Below are 25,511 nucleotides of genomic sequence, written 5' to 3'. Positions count from 1 at the left end.
ATTCATCAGGGCAGGGCTGAGCCACCTCCCTCAGATGGGGGCTCCCAAAAGAAGGGCTAAACCTCCTTTCCCACAGCCTGGAAGCTTCTCCAGGACAGGGCCATGCCGCCCCGTGGTGGGGGCTCCTCAGCCAGGGATGTGCCTCTCTATGAGACAGAGGCCCAGCTGCCCAGCCTGCCCTACCCGGTCCTGCTCCTGCCGGCTCTGGGCATCTCGTTTCTGCCGCTCCATCTCCAGGGAGATGGTGGCCAGGCTGTGCCGTGTACCCATCAACTTCTCTGACAGCGCCGTCTTCTCAGACTCCTTCAGAGACAAGGCCTGGGCAGAGGCAGGGGACAAAGGGCTTGGGGGATGGGCTGGTCCTGGGGGCATGCTCAGGCTTCTTGCTGCCTAGGAAATGTGCCCACTGGGGGCTTAGAGGCCTGAGTGTGCCACTGCAGGTGGACCCAGGGCAGACATGCAGCCCTGGAAAAGGGCACAACGGCAGTCACAAGAATCCCGGACGTGGATACCACTCATAGAGCTCACTAACCCGCCACAGCACCCTGACTGCAGAGTCTTTCTTTCTACCCATCTTACAGATGAGGAAACTGAGGCTCAAGGAGGTAAAGTGACTCGCCCAGGTACACAGCTGGTGAGGAGAGGAGATGGGCACAGTCTGCCCTGTCTCCGTTACATTATAGGAAAGTTAGGGATTTGTTATTTGGGGGGACACGTCAGCTGATGCCTGTGGGCATCGTGGGGACTGCTCAGAAGGCAGCCATGAGGATCCATGCCCAGCGTGGGGTGGGACGAGGCATGGGAGAATATGGAACAGCTTTCCTGGTGTCACGACTGTCACTGTCACTCAGTAAGTGCTCACTGTGTGCCAGGCATGGAGCACAGCAAAGCCTCACGAACCCCCTTCTAATCCTCCCCTCCTGCAGGTAAGGAAACTGAGGCCCCCAAGAGGGCAGTGGCCTGCCCCAGGGCTCCTAGCTGCCAAGTGGCAGAGCAGGGCCCGGCCCCAGAACTGGAGCAGCTCAGAGAGCAGCAGAGGCCATGCCAGGGCTCACGAACCTGCTGCTTCTCACTCTCTGCTAGGAGGAGGCCCTCGTCGCGCTCCTGCTGCAGGGCAGCAATCTCCTCACTCAGCTCTTCCTTCTCAGCCTCCAGCCGGGCCAGCAGCTCCTCCTGCTCACGCTGCAGCTGACTCTGCAGCTGGGCCCGCTCGGCCTCCAGCTCCCGCCATGCTGCCTCCTAGGGGGCCAGGACCGGATGCCTGTGACACACCAGGAGGGGGCCCAGGCAGACCCCCCAAAACATCAGGGCAGCAAGAGCCATCTGGCCCCCATACCCTCAGAGATGGAGGGTGACCAGGTAAATACAAGGGAGTGATAAGGGCTATGACGGGGACACGCCAGGGCCGTGAAAGTGCCAAGGAGCAGCAGTGGGCTGGCCTGGGGGTCCGAACATGGTCCCCTGCGGAGGGACAAGTAACTGTCAGCCAGGTAAGGAGAGAAAAGACCACCCCAGGCCAAGAACACAGCCCCTGGAAAGGCCTAGAGGATGCAGGGTGCAGAGGGGAACGGGACATGGTGAGTCACAGGGCCAGAGCCCCAGGCAGGGGTGGGGCCAGGACAGGCCGTGTGGGCCATGGGGATTCTAAGGACAGTGAGGGGAGTGGGAGAGAGGACTCGAGCCAAGGTGACAAGGAGCAATCTGATTTTTAGCTTAGGGGATGTTCCGACAGCTGTGGAAGAGGGATTGGGGTTGGGATGGAGGGGAGTTAGGACTGGCTGTGAGGAATGAAGGGGGTCAGGGGTTGCCAGAGGAGCTGGAGAGAACACAGATTTGGGGACATTAATGAGGCCAAGCCAGGCAATGCAAAGGGCAAGAAGAGCAAGGGGGAGGTCACAGGAGTTCAGATCCCTGGGGACTGGACAGGCGGGCAGGCAGAGCCCACAGGCAAATAGCAGCCCACCTGGGGAGCCTGAGGGCAGGTGCCTGCCTCAGCACTTGCCCCTAGCAACTCTGTGAGAAGCAGACAGAGCTGCCACTTCTTTTTTTTTTTTTTTAGACGGAGTCTTGCTCTGTCACCCAGGCTGGAGTGCAGTGGCGAGATTTTGGCTCACTGCAACCTCTGCCTCCCAGGTTGAAGCGATTCTTCTGCCTTACCCTCCCAAGTATCTGGGACTACAGGCGCGTGCCACCACGCCCAGCTAATTTTTTGTGATTTTTAGTAGAGATGGGGTTTCACTGTGTTAGCCAGGATGGTCTCGATCTTCCGACCTGGTGATCTGCCCACCTCGGCCTCCCAAAGTGCTGGATTACAGGCATGAGTCAGCACGACCGGCCAAACCGCCCCTTCTTTAAGATCTTCACCGTAGCTCATGCCTGTAATCCCAGCACTTTGGGAGGCCGAGGTGGGCAGATTACGAGGTCAAAAGTTCGAGACACCCTGACCAATATGGTGAAATCCCGTCTCTACTAAAAATGCAAAAATTAGCCAGGCGTGGTGGCGCGCCTATAATCCCAGCTACTCAGGAAGCAGAGGCAGGAGAATCGCTTGAACCCAGAAAGTGGAGGTTGCAGTGAGCCGAGATTGCGCCACTGCAATCCAGCCTAAGCAACAGAGCAAGACTCCGTCTCAAAAAAAGAAAAAAGAAAAAAAAAAAAGAGCTTTACCGCCACCTCCTGGAGAAGCGTGGTAACAACCACCCAAGGCCAGGGGTACTGCAGGGTGAGTGGCATGCCCTGGAGCCATGCAGTCATAGCCTGCACCTCTGTCAGAGGCAGCCCTGTCTAGGATTTGGTGGCTGAGGGCCCCTGTCCCGAGGGCCACTCTGGAGAGCATGTCAGTGCCAGCAATCATAACTTATGGAGCATTTGCTAAGTACCAGTCACTATGCTAAGCCCTCTATGCAGATGGTCTCAGCTCATCTTCAATACCTTTCACTATCCTATCCCTATTTCTACAGGTGGGGAAATGAAGGCACGGACACCTTGGGTAGCATCACCAGTAAGCGACCAAGATTCGATTCAAACCCAGGCAATTCAAACCCAGAGTCAGTGTTCTAGTAACTTCCCTGGCCCCTTGCCTTTCTATATGCTGAGGTCTGAGTGGCTCTTCATATGCAAACAGTACTTCTTAGCAAATGAAAGTGCTTTCCTGCTGTACATTAGGTCAGTATTTCCCAAATGTGGTTGTGGACCCTCTGCATCAGGATTACCAGGGCTGGACCAGATTTGGGACCTGGGAATCTGCATGTCTAATAAGAACCACAACCTCCCCATCCCCCCAGTCCTCCTAGCTGTCCCCAGGACCTCCACAACAGAGAGGAAGTCCCATTTCACAGATGTAGAGACCGAGGCAGAGCAAGAACGATGATGAAACACTGGCTCAGAGTCCTGCCCACCCCTCCCCAGCTGCCTGAACCTTTTCACGCTGGAGTCGCTGTAAGTCCTCCTCGTGAGCTGCCCGCTGCTCCCGCAGAGAGGCCTGGGCCTCCCGCTCAGCCTGCACCAGCTTCTGGGCCATCAGCTCCTTGTCTAGACTGGCTTTCTCCTGTGTAGCTATTATTTGCTGCCGCAGGCCCGCCAACTCCCCTGCACGAGAGGAATGGGGGAAAGGGCAGGGTTGGGTTGAAACTTTTCCTTGGGCCAGCAGACTTAGGCCAGGTGAGCCACATGGGCAAAATCCCAGAGGCAGAGGGCCTGCCTGGCATCTAGTTTGGGTCCTCTTGAAGTGGCTTGCCCTCTCTGGGCCTCAGTTTCCCTATATGCTACATGGGCCCACTGGCCCTGACCCCTTTCCTGCCTACCTAGAATGGCATTAAAGGCATAAAATGACTGATGAGAAGGCCTCCCAAATGGGACGGATGTCAAACATATAACAACCCTAGGTCAGGTGCCTTGGCTCACGCCTGTAATCCCAGCACTTTGGGAAGCTGGGGCAGGTGGATCACCTTAGGTCAGGAGTTCAAGACCAACCTGGCCAACATGGTGAAACCCTGTCTCTACTAAAAATACAACAATTAGCCAGGCGTGGTGGCAGGCGTATGTAGTCCCAGCCTCAGGGAGGCTGAGGCAGGAGAATCGCTTGAACCCAAGAGGCAGAAGTTGCAGTGAGCTGAGATTGCACCACTGCACTCCAGCCTGGGCAACAAGAGTGAGACTCTGCCTCAAAAAAACAAATAGGCCGGGCGCAGTGGCTCATGCCTGTAATCCAGCACTCTGGGAGGCTGGGTCAGGTAGGTCACCTTAGGTCAGGAGTTTGAGACCAGCCTGGCCAACACAGCGAAACCCTGTCTATACCAAAAATACAAAAATTAGCCAGGCATGGTGGCGGGCATATGTAGTCCCAGCTACTTGGGAGGCTGAGGCAGGAGAATCGCTTGAATGCAGGAGGCAGAAGTTGCAGTGAGCCGAGATCGCACCATTGCACTCCAGCCTGGGCAACAAGAGTGAGACTCTGTCTCAAAAAACAAACAGGCTGGGCGTGATGGCTCATGCCTGTAATCCCAGCAGTTTGGGAGGCCAAAGCGGGTGGATCACCTGAGGTCAAGAGTTCGAGACCAGCTTGACCAACATGGCGAAACCCCGTCTCTACTAAAAATATAAAATTAGCCAGGCATGGTGATGCATGCCTGTAATCCCAGCTACTTGGGAGGCTGAGGCAGGAGAATCGCTTGAACCCAGAAGGCAGAGGTTGAGGTGAGCCGAGATAGTGCCATTGCACTCCCGCCTGGGCAACAAGAGTGAAACTCTGTCTCAAAACAAACAAACAAAAAACAACCCTATTCCTGACTGAGCACTTACTATGGGTCAAGCGCCCAGCTAAGTATTTTAGACATAACCTCATTTTGTCTTCATAACATGCCTATGTAGTTTATCCTCATCCCCATTTAACAGATGATGAAATGGAGGCTCAGAGATCAGCAGCAACTTCCCACAGCTGCACAGCTACACATAAAGCATCTCCTTTAATGACTGACATGAACATACCCGTCAAACGTTAACTATTTATATTAATGGAAATGACTACAGGGAATGGAAATGGTATAGCTACCATCTAAAAACCATCTCCCGGGTTGGAAACCCACCAGCATTTCCCTTCCTGGTTCTGTCTGGCTCAGGTGTACATGGACAGGAAAATTAATTTCCATGACCCAAGTAGGTGCTTAGTTAATGTTAGGTGAGCAGAAAGAAGCCCTGAGTTCAGAGACTGGATGGGAACGGTGCAGGGAAGTGGGGCTGGGATTCTGGGGCCAAGAGAGTCATCTGAAAAGCACAGAGAACTCAGACTAACAGGCCTGATGACCGATGAACGGCAGTTACTGTTGACTCAGCCAGGCACCGTGCCACGGCCTTACACGCTTTTCCCACGTCATCCTGGCAACAGGCTTAGAAGGTGGGCATTGCCACCTCCAATCATCAGCTGAGGAATCTGCAGCCCAGAGAGGAAAGGGGCTTGCTCAAGGGAAGGTGAGATCTAAGTGGTGGCACAGGACTGGAACCCAGGCCAGCCAGACTCCTACTCCAGTGCTCCCAACTTCTGTGAGACCCCAGACCTTGGGAGGCTGCAGTCTGGGCTGGAACCTGGTGTTCCCCCCAAGTCCCCAGCCCCTCGTACCAGTCAGGGTCTCCTTGGCCAGCAGCAGGGCCTGCCCCTCGGCTTCCAGCTGCTCCCGGCGGGCCTCAAGCTGGGCCAGCTGCCGTTGCACCTCAAACAGGCTGCCCTCCAGGGCTTCCTTCTCCAAGCTGCAGCACATACAGTCCCTGAGGCCCTGGGACTCAGCCTCCCTGGCCCCAGGAAACTGTGGATCTCAGGGAGTGGCCAGGCATGGGCCAAGTGCCAATCTACCTGCCTGGCCAGGCCCACACTCCCTGGGGAAGCCTGAGCCACAGCTAGGACGAGTCGGCAAGCCAGACTCCTTAGTAACTGCCCCTGGGGGCCCGTGCCTGCGTGTGGCTGGTCATGGTGTGGCCCCAGGAGGACCCCCCAGGGCGGGTTGGGCAGAGCCCAAGGCCTTACCGCAGGCGTGTGGCCTCCTCTGACAGGGTCCTGCCTTCACGCTCCGCAGCCACCAGCTGCACAGCCAGGCCAGCGTGCTCCTTGGCTAGCGCCTCCTTCTCACGGGCCGCTCGCTCCAGCGCCTCCACTTGCCGCTGGGCCTCCCGCCGGGCCTGCTCCAGCTCCTGCTCCCGCCCGCTCAGCTGCCGGGAGAGCTGGCCCCCACCCAGAGACTGAGTAGCACTCCCAGCGTCCCCCAGCTTGTTCATCGTGCAGCACCCCAACTCTGGGCCTAACCCAGTCCTGGCAGAAGGCCTGGGTTTGAGCCCAGGGTCTGCCCTGATGTGCTACATGTACTTGGGCAAGTCATGACCTTCTCTAGATCTGCAATGCACGTGTGTACAAAAACCAGGGCCCAGCCAGGTACGGTGGTGCGTGCCTATAATCCCAGCACTTTGGCAGGTGGATCACTTGAGGTCAGGAGTTCAAGACCAGCCTGGCCAACGGGGTGAAACCCTGTCTCTACTAAAAATACAAAAATTAGCCGGGCGTGGTGGTGCACGCCTGTAGTCCCTGCTACTTGGGACGCTGAGGCAGGCGAACAGCTTAAACCCTGGAGGCGGAGGTTGCAGTGAGCCCAGATCGTGCCACTGCATTCCAGCCTGGGCAACAGAGCAAGACTCTGTCTGGAAAAAAAAACAACAACAAAAACAAAACAAAATGAAACAAAAAAAATGAGGGCCCTCACTCAGCTCTGGGAGTAACAGAACCCTTGTATTACTCTAAACTTGCAGAGAAGCTGAATATATAAACCAGACCCAAGTGCAGCTGCTCGGCAGGCCTCAAGGTGGAGACCTGCACCCTGCTTCCTGCACCCCCTACCCCATCCTCTAGAGGCCCCTCCCAGAAACCTAGGCGCTCCAGGATAGACCTTGCATGAAGGTCCCTGGATCCCTGAAACATTAAGGTCTCTTCCAGATGTGATGTTCCCAAAAGTCTAAGATTCCAATTCTAAAAAGTCTCCACCTATTATTAATCTGTATCATTATTATTATTATTATTATTATTATTATTATTGAGACGGAGTCTTGCTCTGTTGCCCAGGCTGGAGTGCAGTGGCATGATCTTGGCTCACTGCAACCTCTGCCTCCTGGGTTCAAGCGATTCTCCTGCCTCAGCCTCCCAAGTAGCTGGGACTACAGGCGCGTGCCACCACGCCCAGCTAATTTTTTGTAGAGATAGGGTTTCACCGTGTTAGCCAGGATGGTCTTGATCTCCGGACCTCAGGTGATCCACCCGCCTCGGCCTCCCAAAGTGCTGGGATTATAGGCGTGAGCCACTGCGCCTGGCTGGCCCCATGTTATAGATGGGGCAACTGAGGTATGGGAGATTGGGCAGCTTGTCCAAGGTCCCCAGCTAGCAGAAGTGGGGCTGGATTTAACCCAGAAGCAGGCTCCAGTGCCTGTGACTTAACCCAGGACTGGATGCAGGGGGCTGGGAGCCCGGCCTGCCCCACATGCTCTCCACACCACCCCCACACACAGCTTTGCCCACCTGCGCTAGCTGCTCCTGCAGCTGGCTGCGCTCATGGCGCAGCGTGGGGAGCTGCTGCTCCAATGCCTCCTGGGCCTGCTCCGCCACTCGTAGGGAGCCCTCCAGGCCCTGCCGCGCCACCTCCTGCTCCAACCGCAGCTCCTCTAGCCGTTCCTGCTCTTCCCGCGCCACTGTGGCCTCCTGCTCTGCCTGCCGTTGCCGGCCCTGCAGGGCGGACTTTTCTTCCTCCAGCTGGAGGCCAGGTAGGAGTGGGGCCTCGTGAGCAGGGCGTCCCTCCCAGGACCAGGACGCCTCCTCCACCCACCCACCAGCAACAATAGCCCAGGGGAGGCTCCCAGGGAATGAGGGACAGTGCCCTTGGGTGTATGGGACACTGGGGAGGGGGAGATGAGGAGGGCCCATGGAACTTCTGTGCTTTGACGCCTAGAGGGGATAGACAGACAGACAGAGAACCAGAGACAGACAGAGAACCAGGGACAGAAAGGGAGGCAGGGGCCAAGACAGGTACAGGGCTGGGCCCGGGGTGCCTCACTGAGTGGGGAGGATGGGTGGGCAAGGCAGGTGGGCCCGCAGGTGCACAGCGTACCTGGGCGACAAGGCGGTTCAGATCCAACTTGTCCTGAGCAAGGCTCTCGTTGAGGGCGCTCAGCTTGGACAGGGAGTCCTGCAGGGAGGCCTCCTCTGCCCTCAGCTTGGTCATGGAGAGCTCGAGCTCCACGCGGCCAGCCTCAGCCTGCAGGGTCAGGCCCCGAGAAATGAGGAAAGGCAGAAAGGTCGGGAGGAGGTGAGGAGGCCCAAGAAGAGACCCAGAGAGATGGACCCTCAGAGACAGGGTAGGGGAGACAAGGAGGGGACACAGTGTGAGATGGAAAAAAAAAAATCACCGCAGAAAGCCTGCTGCTTATGAGCCATTTAAAAGCCACACACCACAGAGCTGTGCAAAAATAGCTCAAGCTGCAGGGCAGGGCCAGAGTTCAGAGGATCCCCTGAGTAGGGTCTAGGGATAGCACTGCTCAGAGCCCAGGCTGCAGCGGACAGCGCAGGCCCCCCTGCCAAGGACCCTCTGCGCTGTGGCCACAACTCTCAGACCCCAGGAGCTGAGTCTCAGGCACTGGATGACCCTGAGCTATAGGCATTGCCCCCAGGAGCATCCAGAAGAGCAGGGATACGGCCATAAAGAGAGGTCAGTCCACTTATGGCTGGGACCAGAGGTCCAGAGGTCTGTGGCCTGTGACAAAGATCAGCCTGTATCCAGAAGGAAGGGGTCAGTCTGTGACCAGGCTCAGAGGTCTGCCTGACACTGGGACCAGTCTGTGCCAGAGTGACAAGGCTTGGGGCTGGGGGTCAGAGGTAGGTTTGTGGTTGTGCAGCAGACAGGGACCCACCTTGGTCAGCGCCTCGGCCACCTCGGCCTTCTCGGCCTGCAGCATGTCCCGTTGCAGTGTGGCGCGGCTCAGCGCCTCCCTCACCTCCACCAGCTCCTTGGCCAGGACTGAGCGCTTCCCTTCCAGCTGCTCTAGTTGTCTATGGCTGTGGGACAAAGGGTGGGTGGGTGGCCCATGTCACTTTCCTGCCCCGAACCTCCTGTAGCCAGCGAGATGCTGGGCTGGGGACCAGGCCTGAGGCAGGAGTTTGGAGAGAAACAGCCTGAGCCACAGGGCAACCAAGCCCACTACCGCTTAGCTCCATGACCCTGGGCCTCCGTTTTCACATCTGCAAAATGAGGTAACACTTACCTCGTGACATTGTTTGTTTTTTTGAGACACAGTCTTGCTCTGTCACACAGGCTGGAGTACAGTGGTGCGATCCTGGCTGACTGCAACCTCTGCCTCCCAGGTTCAAGCAATTCTCCTGCCTCAGCCTCCCGAGTAGCTGGGATTACAGGTGCTCACCACCACGCCTGACTAATTTTTGTAGTTTTAGTAGAGACGGGATTTCTCCACGTTGGTCAGGCTGGTCTGGAACTCCTGACCTCAGGCGATCTGCCTGCCTTGGCCTCTCAAAGTGCTGGGATTACAGGCGTGAGCCACTGCGCCCGGCCTGTTTTAAGGATACAAACTTCACATGTGCTTAAAATAGTGCCTGACACATCTCCCCAAGGACCTTCAGAAACAAGAATAACATGCTCCACCACAGTCTACTAAACATCATCATCGATCACGTCCCTGAGAGGTAAGCAGCGCAGTGGTGAAGAGGTTAACTCTGAAGGCAGAATGTCTGGGTTCAAATCCTGGCTCTTCTGCTAACTGTGTGACCTGGGGCAAGTGACATGGCTTCTCTGTGCCTCAGTTTACCATCCACAAAATGGAGATAACCGCTTCTATGTCACAGAGTTATCATGGAGTTAAATGAGAGAACTGAATTGCTTAAAATGGTATCTGGCACTTAGTGAAATTAGTAAGGATATTATTATTCTTCTAACTAAATTTTTAAAATACTACTGCTAATATTACTACTGTTATTTTAATTATTCTTGTTATTATCATCCAAGTTCTACCTTTTAACTAGTTCTCTGACTCCAGGTAAGTGACTATACCTCCCTGAGCCCCAGTTTCCTGAAATGGGTCTGGTTAGAAAACCCGACATCGGAGGGGTCCAGACGGTAGGAGGCCCAGGACCCAGTGGGTGTCACCTAACCCCAGGGGGGCACTGTCAGGGGACCCGAGGCACATCTGAAGGGTCCTGGCAGGGTGGCGAGATGCTGCTCACCTGCGCTCAAGCTCCCGGCGCACCCGCGCGCCATCCTGCACTGCGTCCTCCTGCTCTTCCTCCAGCCGGTCCCGCTGGCGCCGCAGCTCCTCCTGGGCAGCCTGCAGCTTCTCCCGCTCCTGCCGCAGCTCCTCGGCCTGCTGCTGGGCCACCTGCAGGCTGTGGGCCAGGTTGCTCTTCTCCCTTCAGGACAAGGGGAGGGGGAGCAGAGGGGATGCTGGGGCTGCTCTCTGCAGGGAAGGTGGCTGGCTGCTCCTCTAGCCATGAGCTACATCCTCCAGTCTTCCAAGGCACCTGCCTCCAGGAAGCCTTCCCTGACCACCCTGTCCATGGCTGACTCATTTCACTCACACACTCCAGCAGAAGAACCTGGCTTTCCTTCTCTCCAGTCCGCCCACTTGGAGTGGATGGAGGTGCTGGTGTGATCTCCAAGCACCCTACCAGGTAGAAGAGGCCGAGCTAGGCTCCTGGGACACACGGCAATTGTGCCACCAGCTCTGCTAGGCCATGTGACCAGGAAATGTCCCCTATAACACCCCATGCCCCTCAATTCTGGGAAGCCTGATAGAGCTGAGTCTGCAGATCCCACAGCTTCCTGCTACACAGGCACATGGTGGCCACGGCAGGGGAGGGAGGAGAAGGGAACAACTGGGACCCCAAAGACTTGCCATGAGCTGCCACGTTCCCCACTGGCCATAGGTGCGAAAAAACTTCACAGCGTGATTTTGTTTTATTTTTTTTTTTTGAGACGGAGTCTCGCTCTGTCCCCCAGGCTGGAGTGCAGTAGCGCAATCTCCACTCACTGCAAGCTCCGCCTCCCGGGTTCACGCCATTCTCCTGCCTCAGCCTCCCAAGTAGCTGGGAATACAGGCGCCCGCCACCATGTCCGGGTAATTTGTTGTATTTTTAGTAGAGATGGGGGTTTCACTGTGTTAGCCAGGATGGTCTCAATCTTCTGACCTCATGACCTGCCCGCCTCGGCCTCCCAAAGTGCTGGGATTACAGGCATGAGCCAATGCGCCCAGTAATTTTTTTTTTTTTTTAGACGGCATCTCACTCTGTCGCCCAGGCTGGAGTGCAGTGCACGATCTCGGCTTGCTGCAACCTCCACCTCCAGAGTTCAAGCGATTCTCCTGCCTCAGCCTCCCAAGTAGCTGGGATTACAGCCATGTGCCACCACGGATGGCTAATTTTGTATTTTTAGTAGAGACAGGGTTTCTCCATGTTGGTCAGGCTGGTCTCGAACTCCCGACCTCAGGTGGTCCTCCTGCCTCGGCCTCCCAAAGTGCTGGGATTACAGGAGTGAGCCACTGTGCCCGGCCAATTTTTTTTTATTTTTAGTAGAGATGGGGTTTCGCCATGTTGGCCAGGCTGGTCTCAAACTCCTGACCTCAAGTGATCCACCCGCCTTGGCCTCCCAAAATACTGGGATTACAGGTGTGAGCCACCTCGCTCAGTCGACAATGTGCTGTTAAGTAAAAATAGCAGAATGCAAAATGGGATGTTTGCTGTGAACACAACTGCTTAAAAAGACCTTCTCCTTTCCAGGCATGGAAAGCTTGGGTTTACTCTCACATGGACCTGAATTCCAGTTCCCACCCTGCCACCCCCAGCCACACACGCTGTATGAGTCTGAGCCAGTCTCTCAAGCTTACAACAACAGAGTTCCGAATTGCATGAGTTTGACAGGAAGACTAAATCACAGAGTACATACAAAACACTCGGCCAAGAGCCTGGCACACAGTAGGTGTGCAGGAAACGTTTGCTATCTCACTGCCAGGCAACACAATGGGAAGGAAAACCAGTGCCCTAAATGAATTAGGATGGGCAGATGAGGCTGTGAGAAGGCGCTGTCTTTTTATTCCTATTTTTCAAACTTTTCATTAGATGGTTACATTTATGAAGAGAAAAACCAAACAACAAAATATCAAAAACAACCTGGCAGCTAAGAAGTGGATAATTTCTTGTCTTAAAAATCTTCAGGGTGCCTGGCGTGATGGCTCACACCTATAATCCCAGTACTTTGGGAGGCCGAGACGGGCTCAGGAGTTAGAGATCAGCCTGGGCAACATGGCGAAACCCTATCTCTACAAAAAACAGAAAAATTAGGCAGGCGTGGTGGTGTGTGCCTGTAGTTCCAGCTACTCAGGAGGCTGAGATGGAAGGATCACTTAAGCCTAGGAGGTGGAGGTTGCAGTGAAATGAGATCGCACCACTGCACTCCAGACTGGGTGACATAACAAGACCCTGTCTCAAATTAAGAGAAAAAAAAAATCTTCAAGGCTAGGCATGGTGGCTTATGCCTCTAATCCCAGCATTTTTGGAGGCCGAGGCAGGGGAATCACTTGAGGCCAGGAGTTTGAGACCATCCTGGGCAACACAGCAAGACCCCATCTCTAAAAAAAACTCCAAGAAATACAGTCCAAAATAGTGCTGGCAATAGAACTCGCTGAGATGACAGAAATGTTCTATGGCCATGTATGGTTGATGAGTGCTTGAAATGTGGCTAGGGCAACTAAAGAACTGAATTTTTTCTTTTTTTTTTTTTTTTGAGACGGAGTCTTGCTCTGTCGCTCAGGCTGGAGTGCAGTGGCGCCATCTCGGCTCGCTGCCAGCTCCGCCTCCCGGGTTCAGGCCATTCTCCTGCCTCAGTCTTCCAAGTAGCTGGGACTATAGGTGCCTGCCACCACGCCCAGCTAATTTACTTTTTGTATTTTTAGTAGAGACGGGGTTTCACTGTGTTAGCCAGGATGGTCTCAATCTCCTGACCTCATGATCCGCCCGCCTTGGCCTTCCAAAGTGCTGAGATTACAGGTGTGAGCCACCGGGCCCAGCATTATTATTATTATTTTTTTTTTGAGATGGAGTCTCGCTCTATCTCCCAGCCTGGAGTGCAGTGGCACGATCCTGGCTCATTGCAACCTCTGCCTCCGGGGTTCAAGTGATTCTCCCACCTCAGCCTCCTGAATAGCTGGGATTACAGGAGCATGCCACCATGCCTGGTTAATTTTTGTATTTTTAGTAGAAACAGGGTTTCACCATGTTGGCCAGCAAGCTGGGTGTGAGCCACCACACCCAGCCTGAATTTTCACTTTTTAAAAATTTTAATTAAATTTTAATAGAGCCAGGCACAGTGGCTTATGCCTGTAATCCCAGCAATTTGGGAGGCTGAGGTGGGAGGAGTGATTGAAGCTAGGAGTTCAAGACCAGCATGGGCAACATAGTGAGACCCCCATCTCTACAAAAAATTTAGAAATGTTGGCGGCTTGTCTACTATCCTCGAGGCTGAGATCAGAGTTGCCCAGGAACCCAGGGAGGTGAGGGCTCAGAGGGTGGTGAGGGCACAGAGGAAGGGAGTGGAAACCTAACTCTCAGGCTTCGGTCCCATATCCTTCCCCAGGCCAGGCCCAGGCCCCCAACTAGGGGCAGTTGGGAGGTAGAGGTGGGAGGATCGCTTGAGTCTGGGAGTTCCAGGTTACAGTGAGCTGTGATGGACCAATTGTGCCCCAGCCTGGGAAACAGAGCAAGAGTGTGACTCAAAACAAAGCAAAACAAAACAAAACAAAACAAAACTGAATACTAAAAAATAAATGTTGGCCGGGCGCGGTGGCTCATGCCTGTAATCCCAGCACTTTGGGAGATGGACGCGGGTAGAACATGAGGTCAGGAGTTCAAGATCAGCCTGGCCAAGATGGTGAAACCCCGTCTCTACTAAAAATACAAAAAAAATTAGCCGGGCGTGGTGGTGGGCACCTATAATCCCAGCTACTTCAGAGGCTGAGGTGAGAATTGCTTAAACCCGGGAGGAGGAGGATGCAATGAGCCAAGATCGCGCCACTGCACTCCAGCCTGGGCCACACAGTGAAACTCCGTCTCAAAAAAAAAAAAAAAATTAGCCCGGCATGGTGGCAGGGGCCTGTAGTCCCAGATACTCGGGAGGCTGAGGCAGGAGAATGGCGTGAACCCAGGAGGCGGCGCTTGCAGTGAGCCGAGATCGCGCCACTGCACTCCAGCCTGGGCGACAGGGCGAGACTCCATTTTAAAAATAAATAAATAAATAAACGTTAATAGGCACATGCAGCTAGTGGCGACCATATTAGTGCAGAGCCATACGCATAAGGCTTGACTGGTGTTATGCCCAGACGGTGACTTATTCTTCAGTACCCCCCAGCTCAGACCTCCCCGGCACCTGCTCAGGAGCTCGTTGGCGCTCCGCAGCCGCTGCACCTCGCGCTGGGCGTCCTCGTGGGCCTGCATGGCGCCGTCGGTCTTGTCCCGCAGGCGCTGCAGCTGTTCCTCTAGGGCCCGCCGCTCGCTCTCGCTGTCGCTAAGCTGCTTCCGCAGGGTGCCCAGTAGGTCCTGGCTTGCCTCATAGCGCCCACGCATGTCCTGGGGTGTGGGGGGTCACAGAGTCTGGGGGGGCCTGAGAGGCCTCCAGAGCCACCTACTCTCTTCTGGTTCCAGGGATACACACTAGCCTACGCTAGGCGGGGTCCAGGGCCTGGACCTGGCCTGGGGCAGGATAGGGGCCTAGGCCTGAGAGCCAGGCTTCCGCTCCCCTCCTATGTGCCCTCGCCACCCTCTGAGCCCTCACCTCCCTGGGGTCCCGGACAACTCCTATCAAAGCCCCCCGGATGCCAGACAAACCCCCAGGCACACTCGTCTCCTGGGTTCTGATCCCACCCCCAGGGCTCCTAGGCTCCTCCCCCTTGCATCCTGGTTCCACTCTCAGACTCCTCCCTACCCTGGCTCTGCCCCTAGTTCCCAAGCTCTGATTCCCCTTGCTAGACCTTTTCCCAGGGTCCTGGCTCTGTATGACCAGGGACCTGTCTCCCTCTCTACCAGGACCCTAACACTGCCGCAGCCTCCTCCCTCCACCAGCTGCCCAAGCACCCACCCCCAGCTGCCCAAGCACCCCCACTTCTGGGCTCGGCTTCACCGCAGAGCTCTCGGCCACCTCCTTGGGGGTCCTGACACCCTCAGAAACTATTTCTCAGGGCTCTGGCTGCACCCCAGGGCGCTCAGACTCCTCCCTCGGACCCTGGCCCCGGACCTGCCCCCGCCCCCGCCCCCACCCGGAGGGCGCGAGCCCCTCCCCCAGGCCTCTGGCTGCGCCCAGAACGCTCAAGCCCCTTCCTACCTGGACCTGCAGCTGGCGCTTGTGCAGGGCGGAGTGGATCAGGGCGAGCGTGGAGGAGTCTGAGCAGGCCGGGGAGGGGCCTCGGCGGGGTGAACGGCCTCGGCCGGGCGAGGAGCGCCGCGGTGGGGACGGGGTCCGCTGGCCCGAGAGCCCCCGCAGGCTGCCGTTGGAAGCATCCGCGGTGCGCTCAGAGCCGCTCAGCTGGACGCCGCTCTCAGAGTCTGACAAGACGGCCTGAGGGTGGGGGAGGGAGGCAGAAGGAGGCTGCTGAGTTAGGAACCGCGGGGTTAGCTGGGCAAAGACGCCCAGGTGAGGCTGGGGGCTGCCTCATTCCAAATGCTGCCTCTTACAAGAAGCCTTCCTGATTTCACCTCCTCCACTAGCTCAGTCCTCGGCTCGCCGCTGAGGCCTCCCATTTATTGGGAAGACATCATTTGGCCTTGCTCACAGGTGGGCTCCCAAAGGGTCGTGCCTCCCCTCTGAGACTGGGGGCTCCCCAAGGCAGAGGCTGGGTGAGCTAGCAGGGGTGCTGAGCAGCTACAGCCTGGGTCCCAGGCCCCCACCCATTTGCAGTTCAGTCCCAGGTCACCGAAAGACGTGGCGGGGGAGCCTGGGACTGCCTGGCAGGGCGCTGTCTTCCCGCCTCTCTGGGCTCACACCTGTGCCAGGTCCCTTAGGGTCTGCTGTAGCCCCTCTCCATCCTCTGTCTCCAGGGCCGCCTGCTCCTGTAGCCGCAGGGATTCCTGGAGTGCGGTTAGGGAGACAAAGGGTGGTTGGGGTTCTGTCTTATCTGAAACCTCCCCTTTCCCTCCCTACCTGGCCCACCACTGACCAGGTGGCCTCTGAAGCCATGTCCATAGGCCAGCCACCTGGTAGACCCCACAGCAGGCCCGAGGCCCTCACTGAACAGACCAGGCCCAGAGAAGAGCTATGTCCTGCCCCAGGTCACACAGTCGATTGCAGGAGAGCCGGACCTAGAACCCAGGCCAGGCCCCACACAGAGGGGTGACCAAACCAGGCTGTACCCTGGGGGAGTGAGTGTCCCACTGGTGGGGGTGGGGGGCAGCTAGGTTGCCAGAGGCCGCATCTGGACCTGGAGAGCGTGGATGGGAGTTCAAGTCCCGACTCTCCCGCTTAGTGGCTCTGAGACTGGACAAGCATTACCCCTCTTGGGCCTCAGTTTCCCCATCTGTGTTATGAGGATTATGCTACAGGGCTGCTGGGAGGAAGAAATGGGATGGAGGTGAGTGTGCTTCCCACAAAGCCTGCACACCTGTGAGGGCTGAACCTGAGTGTGAGTGGGACGCTGGGGGTGACCCAGGCAGCCCAGCCCTAAGCCTGCGTCCATGGATCTGGCCGGTACCCCATCTCACCCTGCCCCATCTCAGGGGCACCTGCAGCTCACCAGGGCCTCAAGCTTCTCAGTGAGGTCCTTGTTGACCTGATCCTTCTCCAGATTCTGCTTCTCAAGACGCTTCACTGCCAGGCCCAGCTCTGTCACTCTGGAGTTGGGGGAGCAACAGAGGTGAATACGGGACCACCCCAGCTTCTCAAATCCACTAGCTCTGTGTCCACCATGCTTCTCCAAACCCGAGGCAGGGACCCTAACATCCACCTCCCTGGCTGTGTGACCTCAGACAAGTCCCGGCTCCTCTCCAGATCTCACATTTCTCATCTGTGAAATGGGAATGAGGTTCCCACCAGCTTTATCTCATGGGAAAGCAGTTGAGGACTTGTCCAGGTGGCAGGAGTAAGGGGCACGAGTTCTTTTTTTTTGTTTTTTTTTTTTTGAGACGGAGTTTCGCTCTGTCATCCAGGCCGGAATACAGAGATGTGATCTTGGCTCACTGCAACCTCCACATCCTGGGTTCAAGCGATTCTCCTGTCTCAGCCTCCCTCGTAGCTGGGATTACAGGCACGCGCCACCACGCCCAGCTAATTTTTGTATTTTTAGTAGAGACAGGGTTTTGCCTGTCGGACAGGCTGGTCTTGAGCTCCTGACCTCAGGTAATCCCCCACCTTGGTCTCCCAAAGTGCTGGGATTACAGGTGTGAGCCACCACACCCGGCCACAAGTTCTGCCATAGGAGGCTAAGCTGTTTATGATAAACACTGGGCAAGTGCCTTCGGAACCTCAGTGCATGGGAAGACTGGCTGAGCTCACAGAGGAAGGCCCTTCCCCTAGTGAACAGATGCTCCCTTCTCCCCAACTCTCCAGTTTTACCTTCTGCAGGGACGCCTGCCTCGTGCGGCATCCACCAGGTACCCACCTGGCACTGAGGTCAGCCTTGTCCAGGTCGCTTTGCATCTGCTGCTGCGCCAGGTCCTTCTCGCGGAGCACCTTGTCCCGCAGCTGCTCCTCCAGCTGGGCCTGCAGCAGGGCCTGTTTCTCCAGGGCTGCCTCGGCCCGGCTCTCTGCCAGCCGTAGGCCCGTGCTCAGTCCCAGGCCCGCCTCCTGGACAGCTCGTGATGTCCGGGCCAGCTCCCCTCCCAGCTGCAGCAGGTCCCTTCGGGAGAGAGCACAGGCTGGGGATGGATGGGGCTTGCTCCCAACTACAAATTAAAACTATGCTTGGGCAGGGCGTGGTGGCTCACACCTATAATCCCAGCACTTCAGGAGGCCAAGGCGGGCAGATCACGTGAGGTCAGGAGTTCGAGACCAGCCTGGCCAACATGGTGAAACCCTATCTCTACTACAAATACAAAAAATTAGCCAGGCATGGTGGCGCACTTCTGTAGTCCCAGCCGCTTGGGAGGCTGAGGTAGGAGAATTGCTTGAACCCAGGAAGTGGAGACTGCAGTAAGCCGAGATCATGACACTGCACTCCAGCCTGGGTGACACAGCAAGACTGTGTCTCAAAATAAATAATAAAATAAAAATAAAACTATACTAGGCTGGGTGCGGTGGCATACACCTGCAGTCCCAGCTATGCGGGAAGCTGAGGCAGGATTGCTTGAGCCCAGGAGTTTGAGGCCAGCATGGGAAACATAGTGAGACTCCATCTCAAAAACTAAAGAGGAAGAAAAAAAAAACCCTACACTGGGATGCCATTTGTCCACTCTCAGATTGGGGAAAAAAAAAGGGATACATAATACACAAGGAGGGGCTCTGGGGGTAACAGGCCCTCCCCTACTCAGCTGGTGGGAGGGTGATACAACCACAACGGAGGGCACTGAGGGAGAGCTCTGAAAACTATGCATGCATAGGACCTTCCCCACCGGCTCCTCCTCTAAGAACGTATCCAACGATATACCCCAGCACAGAGGAGATGGCTTGTGGACAAGGAGGTTCACTGCAGCATTGCTCATGTAAGAAATCCTGGTGACAACCTAAATGTCTATCAAAAGGGGACTGCTACTAAGTACATGATGGTACATCCATTCTGTGGAACACTCTGTGGCCAAGAAAAAGCAGTGGAAGGCCAGGCTTGGTGGCTCACGCCTGTAATCCCAGCACTTTGGGAGGCCGAGGAGGGCGGATCACGAGGTCGGGAGATCGAGACCATCCTGGCTATCACGGTGAAACCCCGTCTCTATTAAGAATACAAAAACAAAATTAGCCGGGTGAGGTGGCAGGCGCCTGTAGTCCCAGCTACTCGGGAGGCTGAGGCAGGAGAATGGCGTGAACCCAGGAGGCGGAGCTTGCAGAGAGCCGAGATTGGGCCACTGCACTCCAGCCTGGGCGACAGAGTGAGACTATGTCTCAAAACAAAACAAAACAAAACAAAAAAACCAGTGGAGAAGTTCTTCCTGGCCTGACACAGAGCCACCTCCCAGTTATAACTAGTAGGTTAGGGAAGCATCTTCAAGAACTGTGAAGATGAAATTTTACCAGGCGTATATGCAAAAAAGTGTGCATGTGTCTGTGTGTCTCTGTGTGTGTGTGTGATCTGCTTTATTTGATTATGTAAGATAACCCTGGAAGGTCACTTAAGAAACTGATAGGCCAGGCGTGGTGGCTCATGCCTGTAATCCCAGCACTTTGCGAAGCTGAGGCAGGAGGATCACCTGAGGTCAGGAGTTCAAGACCAGCCTGGCCAACATGGCAAAACCCCACCTCTACTAAAAATACAAAACTTAGCGGGGTGTGGTGGCTCATGCCTGTAATCCCAGCTACTTGGGAGGCGGAGGTGGGAGAATCGCTTGAACCTGGGAGGTGGAGGTTGCAGTGAGCCAAGATCGTGCCACTGCACTCCAGCATGGGAGACAGAGCAAGACTCTATCTCAAAAAAGAAAAAAAAAAAAAAAAAAGAAACTGCTGATAATGCTTCTCATGGTAACTTGGTGGCCAAAAAAAAAAAGAAGAAGAAGAAGCAAAAAAGAAAAAAGAAAAAATCTGTATATATAAAAAGAAAAAGAAGCTGATAATGCTGCTTGCCTCCAAGGAGGGAAGAGGAATATCTGGGGTCAGAGGTGAGAGGGAGCCATTTTACTGTGTACCCTTTTGAAATGTGAACCTTGTGAACATGTGACTTAATCAAAAGTAAAATATAAAAATTTTAAAGGCTACTTAAAATTTTTGGTTTTGTTTTGTATTTTAAGGCCAGGCATGGTGGGCCATTTCTGTAATTCCAGCACTTTCGGAGGCCAAGGCAGGTGCACTGCTTTAGCCCAGGAGTTCAAGACCAGCCTGGGCAACATGGCAAGACCCTGTCTCTAAAAACAAACAAACAAAAATTAGCTAGATATAGTGGTGCACACTTGTAGTCCCAGCTACTTGGGTGGCTGAGGTGGGAGGATCACTTGAGCCTGGGAGGTCAAGCCTAATGTGAGTTGTGATTGTGCCACTGCACTCCAGCCTGGGCAACAGAGAGAGACTGTCTCAAAAAAAAAAATGTATTTTCAGTCCATAATACAGGTTAAATCCTTTCCTTTCCTGAATGAACAGTACCACTGGTTATCTAATAGTAAGGAGAGAAAGTGCCTCATTCCAGAATTCTAATTAATATACACAGGAGTGACTAAATGAGAAGCTCACAGTTTTGCAGCCTTTGATGAGTGGGTTGGATCTTGAAAAGAGAGACAGCTGGCATAGGGGCATCCTGCTGGAAGAACACATTCTACTTATGGAGTCTTGATCAAACAAAAAAGCAAGCAGAAGAACCTGAATCTGACCTAGCTTTAGATCCAACATCCAATTTACAGGAAATACATGGGATAAAGAAACATGTTAATTGACACCATAAGGATGCAACCAGCAAAATCCAGACCATGAGAATCTCCAAGGACAACTAGCCCAGTTTCCTGAACAAATAAGTTAAAAGGGACTTAAAAGACAAAGCAGGGGCCGGGCACAGTGGCTTGGGCCTGTAATCCCAGCACTTTGGGAGACCAAGGTAGGTGGATCACCTGAGGTCAAGACCAGCCTGGCCAACATGGTGAAGCCCCCATCTCTACTAAAAATACAAAAGTTAGCTGGGCGTGGTGGCGCACTCCTGTAATCCCAGCTACGCAGGGGGCTGAAGCCATAGGATTGCTGAACCCAGGAGGGAGAGGTTGTGGTGAGCCAAGATCGTGCCACTTCACTCCAGCCTGGGCAACAAAGCAAGACTCCATCTCAAAAAAAAAGAAAAAAAAGACAAAGCAAACATTTACGTTTTGTAAATGTCTATGGATCGAGATTCAAACAAATTGTAAAGAAAAAACTAAAGCAAGACTATCTGTGACTTTTTTTTTCGAGACAGAGTTTCACTCTGTCACCCAGGCTGGAGTGCAATGGTGTTATCTCGGCTCACTGAAACCTCCGCCTCCTGGGTTCAGGCGAGTCTGGGGCCTCAGCCTCCCCAGTAGCTGGGATTACAGGCATGTGTCACCACACCTAGATAAGTTTTGTATTTTTAGTAGAGATAGGGGTCTCACCATGTTGGCCAGGCTGGTCTCGAACTCCTGACCTCAGGTGGTCCGCCCGCCTCGGCCTCCTGAAGTACTGGGATTATAGGCGTGAGCCACTGCACCTGGTCTATCTGTGACATTTATGAGACATATGGAAAATTTAGACACTGGCTATTTGATGATATTAACAAAAGATTATTAAACCAGGTGTGGTTGCTCATGCCTGTAATCCCAGCATTTTGGGAGGTCAAGGCAGGAGGATCACTTGGGCTCAGGAGTTCAAGACCAGCCTGGGCAACAAAGTGAGACCTCGACTCTACAAGAAATAAAAAAATCAGCAAGCCTGGTGGCATGCACCTGTAGTCCCAGCTGCACAGGATCTGAGGTAGGAGGATTGCTTGAGACGAGGAGGCTGAGGCTGTAGTGAGCCATAAAGAAAAGAAAAGATTACTAACTAAAATGTTTTTAACGCACTAAATGAAATACCTTGGCCTCCTGCCTTGGGGCTCTCTCCGCAGCCTCCCTGACACTACTGTTGAGCTGACTGCTCACACGGATCAGGCAGGCCCAAGCTCCCCCGCTGAGGCAGGCTCTCCTTTCCCTGTACCAGCTCTTCATTGCAACCCCCCTGGCTGCCATGGGCTCCCACCTCCATGCCTTTGCTCATGCCTTGCTCCTGCTTGGAGCGCCTGCTGCTCTGCTTCAACCCTACCCATCCCTTGAGGCTCTGTGCAAATTCCATCTCCACAAAGTGGTTTTTCTGACCTCCCCACCCCTCCCATCCTTCTGAGCCTCGAGGACATTCCCTCTGTTCCACGTACATATCACTGACCACTCGCTTCCTCAGTCTAGAATTTTATTTTACTTTTTTTGGATGGAGTTCTGCTCTTGTTGCCCAGGCCGGAGTACAATGGCGAGATCTCGGCTCACCGCAACCTCTGCCTCCCAGGTTCAAGCAATTCTCCTGCCTCAGCCTCCCGAGTAGCTGGGATTACAGGCATGCACCACTATGCCCGGCTAATTTTGTATTTTTAGTAGAGACAGGGTTTCTCCATGTTGAGGCTGGTCTTGAACTCCTAACCTCAGGTGATCCACCCGCCTCGGCCTCCTCAAGTGCTGGGATTACAGGCGTGAGCCACCGTGCCCAGCCTAGAATTTTGGGGATCTACATCTTTTCATCACAAGAGGCTGTGAGGTCCTTGGTAGCAAAGCTGAATATTCTAGTGGATTAAAATCAGGAACTTCGGCCTGGCGCTGTGGCTCATGCCTATAATCCCAGCACTTTGGGAGGCTGAGGCTGGCTGATTGCTTGAGCTCAGGAGTTCGAGACCATCCTGGGCAACATGGTGAAACCCCGTCTCTACTAAAATACAAAAAAAAAAAAAAAATTAGCTGGGTGTGGCGGCATGTGCCTGTTATCCCAGCAACTCAGGAGGCTGAGGCAGGAGAATTGCTTGAACCCAGGAGGTGAAGGTTGCAGTGATCCAAGATCGTGCCACCTCACTCCAGCCTGGTGACAGAGCAAGACTCCGTCTGAGAAAAAAAAAAAATCAGGAACTTCAAACTCTGACTCAGCCACTTATGTACTACTGTGTGACCTCAGGAAGATCACTCAACCTCTCTGCGCCACAATGTCCTCATCTGTAATATGTGAATGAACACAGTTCCTACCTCACAGGGAAGCTATGAATATTAGTTGAAATGAAATATACAATGAGCCTAGCCCAGAGTAAACATCTAATAAATGCTGACTGCCACGACTGTGGTAATGGTTATTACAAGTTGCCTCTGTGTCCTCACCGGCCCTTGTGCACAGTAAGTGCGTTGAGTTGAACTGAAATTCAACTGAGTTCAGTTGGACATAAAGAGCAGGGCTGGCTCTCAGCTGCTGCCCCGTCCCCGGCCAGGCCTCACCTCTCAGTGAACATCTTCACCTCGCTGACCAGCCGCCGGAACCCCACCACCTGCCTCCAGAGGAGGAGCAGGCGACTGTGCTCGTTGCTGAAGTAGGCGTTGAAGGACTGGAGGGAAGACATGCCGAGGGAAGGGTTGGTGTGAGAGCGGGTTTACTCCCTCCCACTGCTTCCCTCATCTCCGACCATCCTGGGAGGCACCGTCGTTCAGGGATTGGGTCTTCCTGTGGGTCTGTGCACAGAGCTGTGTTGCAGCGGCCATGCTCAGCCTCCCAAGCCTCATGGCTCCCTCCTGCACAGGGACCTGGGTTTCAAGTCCTCTTTTGGCTGCAAGAGGCAGCAACGAAGGGCAAAAATGCAAGGGACCTAGCTTTGCATCCCAGCTGCCAGTTGCATGACTGTGGGCAGGTTACTTAAACTCTCTTTATTTATTTACTTATTTGGAGACAGAGTCTTGCTTTGTTGCCCAGGATGGAGTGCAGTGGCACGATCTCTCAGCCTCCCAAAGTGCTGGGATTACAGGCGTGAGCCACTGCGACCGGCCTTAACCTCTCTTTAAAATGAGGAGAATGATAGCACCTACCACATGCAGTTATCATGAGGAATAAAGGTCAACGCACACCGTGCACGTGGTACATGCTACACACTGATAAAGACCAGCTATTGTGATGACGGCTATTTACTTCTGCTAACAGGCTCCCTTGGACAGTGCTCCCTCTCCCTCTCCAGGCTTCTGAGTCCTCCCTCCTCTGCAGTGCCCCTTCCTCTTGGGTCAGGCTGGCCTCCCTGCACCCCCATGCCCACCTCCTCCTCGCGCCTCCACGCCGCCTCCCGGTGCTCCAGCTCCTTGCGGCAGCGTGTCCAGTCATTGGTCACCTTTCGTATGTCCTCACTCAGAGCCTGGTTGGCCGAGCCTGCCTGGTCCAGCTGTTCTCGGAGCATGGCATTCACCTGGGCCAGGCTGGCACTCCTGAATGGGGCACAGGGGATCAGTAGGCGCTCGCGCAGGGGGCCATCCTGCCAGCCCTGGCCCTCCCTGCTGCGCCCTCACCTCTGCTGCTCCTCCTCCAGCCGGATGAGGGCGCTTTCCAGGTCTTGGCTGTGCTCTGTGTCCTGGGTGGGAGAGAGGTTAAAGCATCAGGTTGGGCAGGTGGAGGGCAGGGCCTGCCCCTGCCCCACACTGGCACCCACCCTCAGCCGCTGCTGCTCCAGCTCTCCGGATCTCTCCAGCAGCTGCTGCTCCAGCTCCGAGCACCTCTTCTTGTACTGGAGAATCTGGGGATGGGGAGCTGATGGTGAGCCCCAGGGGTTGGGGCGGGGCAAAGTGAACAGGTGGGAGGACAGGAGCAGGAGTGGGTGGTCCTGACCTTGCCCTGCAGCCGCTGCACAAGCTGGGCCTGCCGCTGCTGGCCCTCCTGGTAGGCCTGCAGCTTGCGCCGGTAGGAGGCCTGCTCCTCCTGCAGCTGCCTCCGCAACTCCACGCTCTGCCGTACCAGCCCCCTGGGCTCCTGCGTCTCCAGCTCCCCAGGCTCCAGCCGCAGAGCCTGCTCCAGCTGCAGGGAAGGGCCCTGGGTGAGAGTCCTGGGCCTCCTGGGAAGGCAGGCTCAGGCTTCTGTAGGGCGTGGCAGGCTGGGCCCAGACCCACAATGCCTTGTAGGCTGATAGCCTGGCGCCCTGGGGAGCAGCACATGTGGGCAAGCCCAGGGGCAGTGCACGTGTGTATGGGGTGATGCAGCCATGCACGGGCACGCAGACGGGGCATGCATGGACACATGCAGGTGAGCCCACAAACCCAAACCACGCAGGCAAAGCTCAAAGGTGCACCTGGGTCAACCTCAGGGGCCTCAGTACACCATGTGCCTCTCCTCCAGAACACTTAGCCCTGTCGTGGTTTCTGTTTATTACATTGATGCCTGTGTCTTCCCACCATGCCCCGACCCCAATGTGAGCTCAGGAAAGCCTGGATTTTTTGTTCCTCATTGTATCTTAGTACTAGAATGGTGGCTGTGGAATGGCATGGCTCACGCTCAGTAAATATTTGTTGCGATAGTGAATTAATGGGATGAGCTCATGGGAATACATTCAAAACAGAGGTGTCAATCTGTCTATGCATATCTGACCTTAAAGATATGCACACACATAACACATACAGGCAACCTCAAACATTCCCGGAGGACACGAAGGAACCCCCTCATATACACAGCATTAAGATTTGTAAGAGGTGCACACAGGTGTTGCCCTATACGGCGCCTGCATATTAATGCCCCCTTCTGGCTGGGTGCAGTGGCTCATGCCTGTGATCCCAGCACTTTTGGAGGTCAAGGCGGGTAGATCACTTGAAGTCAGGGGTTCAAGACCAGCCTGGCTAA

At 54.9% G+C, this 25,511-nt stretch overlaps 1 protein-coding gene across 9 annotated transcripts in view, besides 1 other annotated feature; it reads right to left on the bottom strand.

Moving 5' to 3' along the window:
* CROCC (ciliary rootlet coiled-coil, rootletin) overlaps positions 1-25,511 on the bottom strand; it is a 58,880-nt gene that overhangs the window by 18,424 nt on the left and 14,945 nt on the right. For 8 of the 9 annotated variants that reach the window (XM_047435134.1, XM_047435120.1, XM_006711058.4 and 5 more), the window contains 19 exons: positions 24,510-24,695; positions 24,334-24,417; positions 24,194-24,255; positions 23,947-24,112; positions 23,144-23,250; positions 17,668-17,904; positions 16,804-16,900; positions 16,058-16,141; positions 15,399-15,632; positions 14,448-14,647; positions 10,259-10,441; positions 8,935-9,079; positions 8,136-8,282; positions 7,550-7,780; positions 6,017-6,210; positions 5,615-5,742; positions 3,419-3,588; positions 1,060-1,239; positions 184-318 (listed from right to left, as the gene is read on the bottom strand). In XM_047435134.1, coding sequence (XP_047291090.1) covers positions 184-318; positions 1,060-1,239; positions 3,419-3,588; positions 5,615-5,742; positions 6,017-6,210; positions 7,550-7,780; positions 8,136-8,282; positions 8,935-9,079; positions 10,259-10,441; positions 14,448-14,647; positions 15,399-15,632; positions 16,058-16,141; positions 16,804-16,900; positions 17,668-17,904; positions 23,144-23,250; positions 23,947-24,112; positions 24,194-24,255; positions 24,334-24,417; positions 24,510-24,695 — 2,970 coding nt within the window. The remainder of the gene's footprint in view (positions 1-183; positions 319-1,059; positions 1,240-3,418; positions 3,589-5,614; positions 5,743-6,016; positions 6,211-7,549; positions 7,781-8,135; positions 8,283-8,934; positions 9,080-10,258; positions 10,442-14,447; positions 14,648-15,398; positions 15,633-16,057; positions 16,142-16,803; positions 16,901-17,667; positions 17,905-23,143; positions 23,251-23,946; positions 24,113-24,193; positions 24,256-24,333; positions 24,418-24,509; positions 24,696-25,511) is intronic. The other variant, XM_047435136.1, reaches the window with a different exon arrangement.
* Positions 21,337-21,531: a silencer, noted in NCBI's record as "fragment chr1:17259505-17259699 (GRCh37/hg19 assembly coordinates)". NCBI's record gives its function as "represses an EF-1alpha promoter that drives an FKBP-Casp9 reporter gene in an ReSE screen in K562 erythroleukemia cells {active_cell/tissue: K562}" and the evidence as "EXISTENCE:reporter gene assay evidence [ECO:0000049][PMID:32094911]".

The sequence above is a fragment of the Homo sapiens genome, chromosome 1 (assembly GCF_000001405.40).
Source record: "Homo sapiens chromosome 1, GRCh38.p14 Primary Assembly".
NCBI lineage: Eukaryota > Metazoa > Chordata > Mammalia > Primates > Hominidae > Homo > Homo sapiens.
This window is presented reverse-complemented; position numbering and strand designations above follow the sequence as displayed.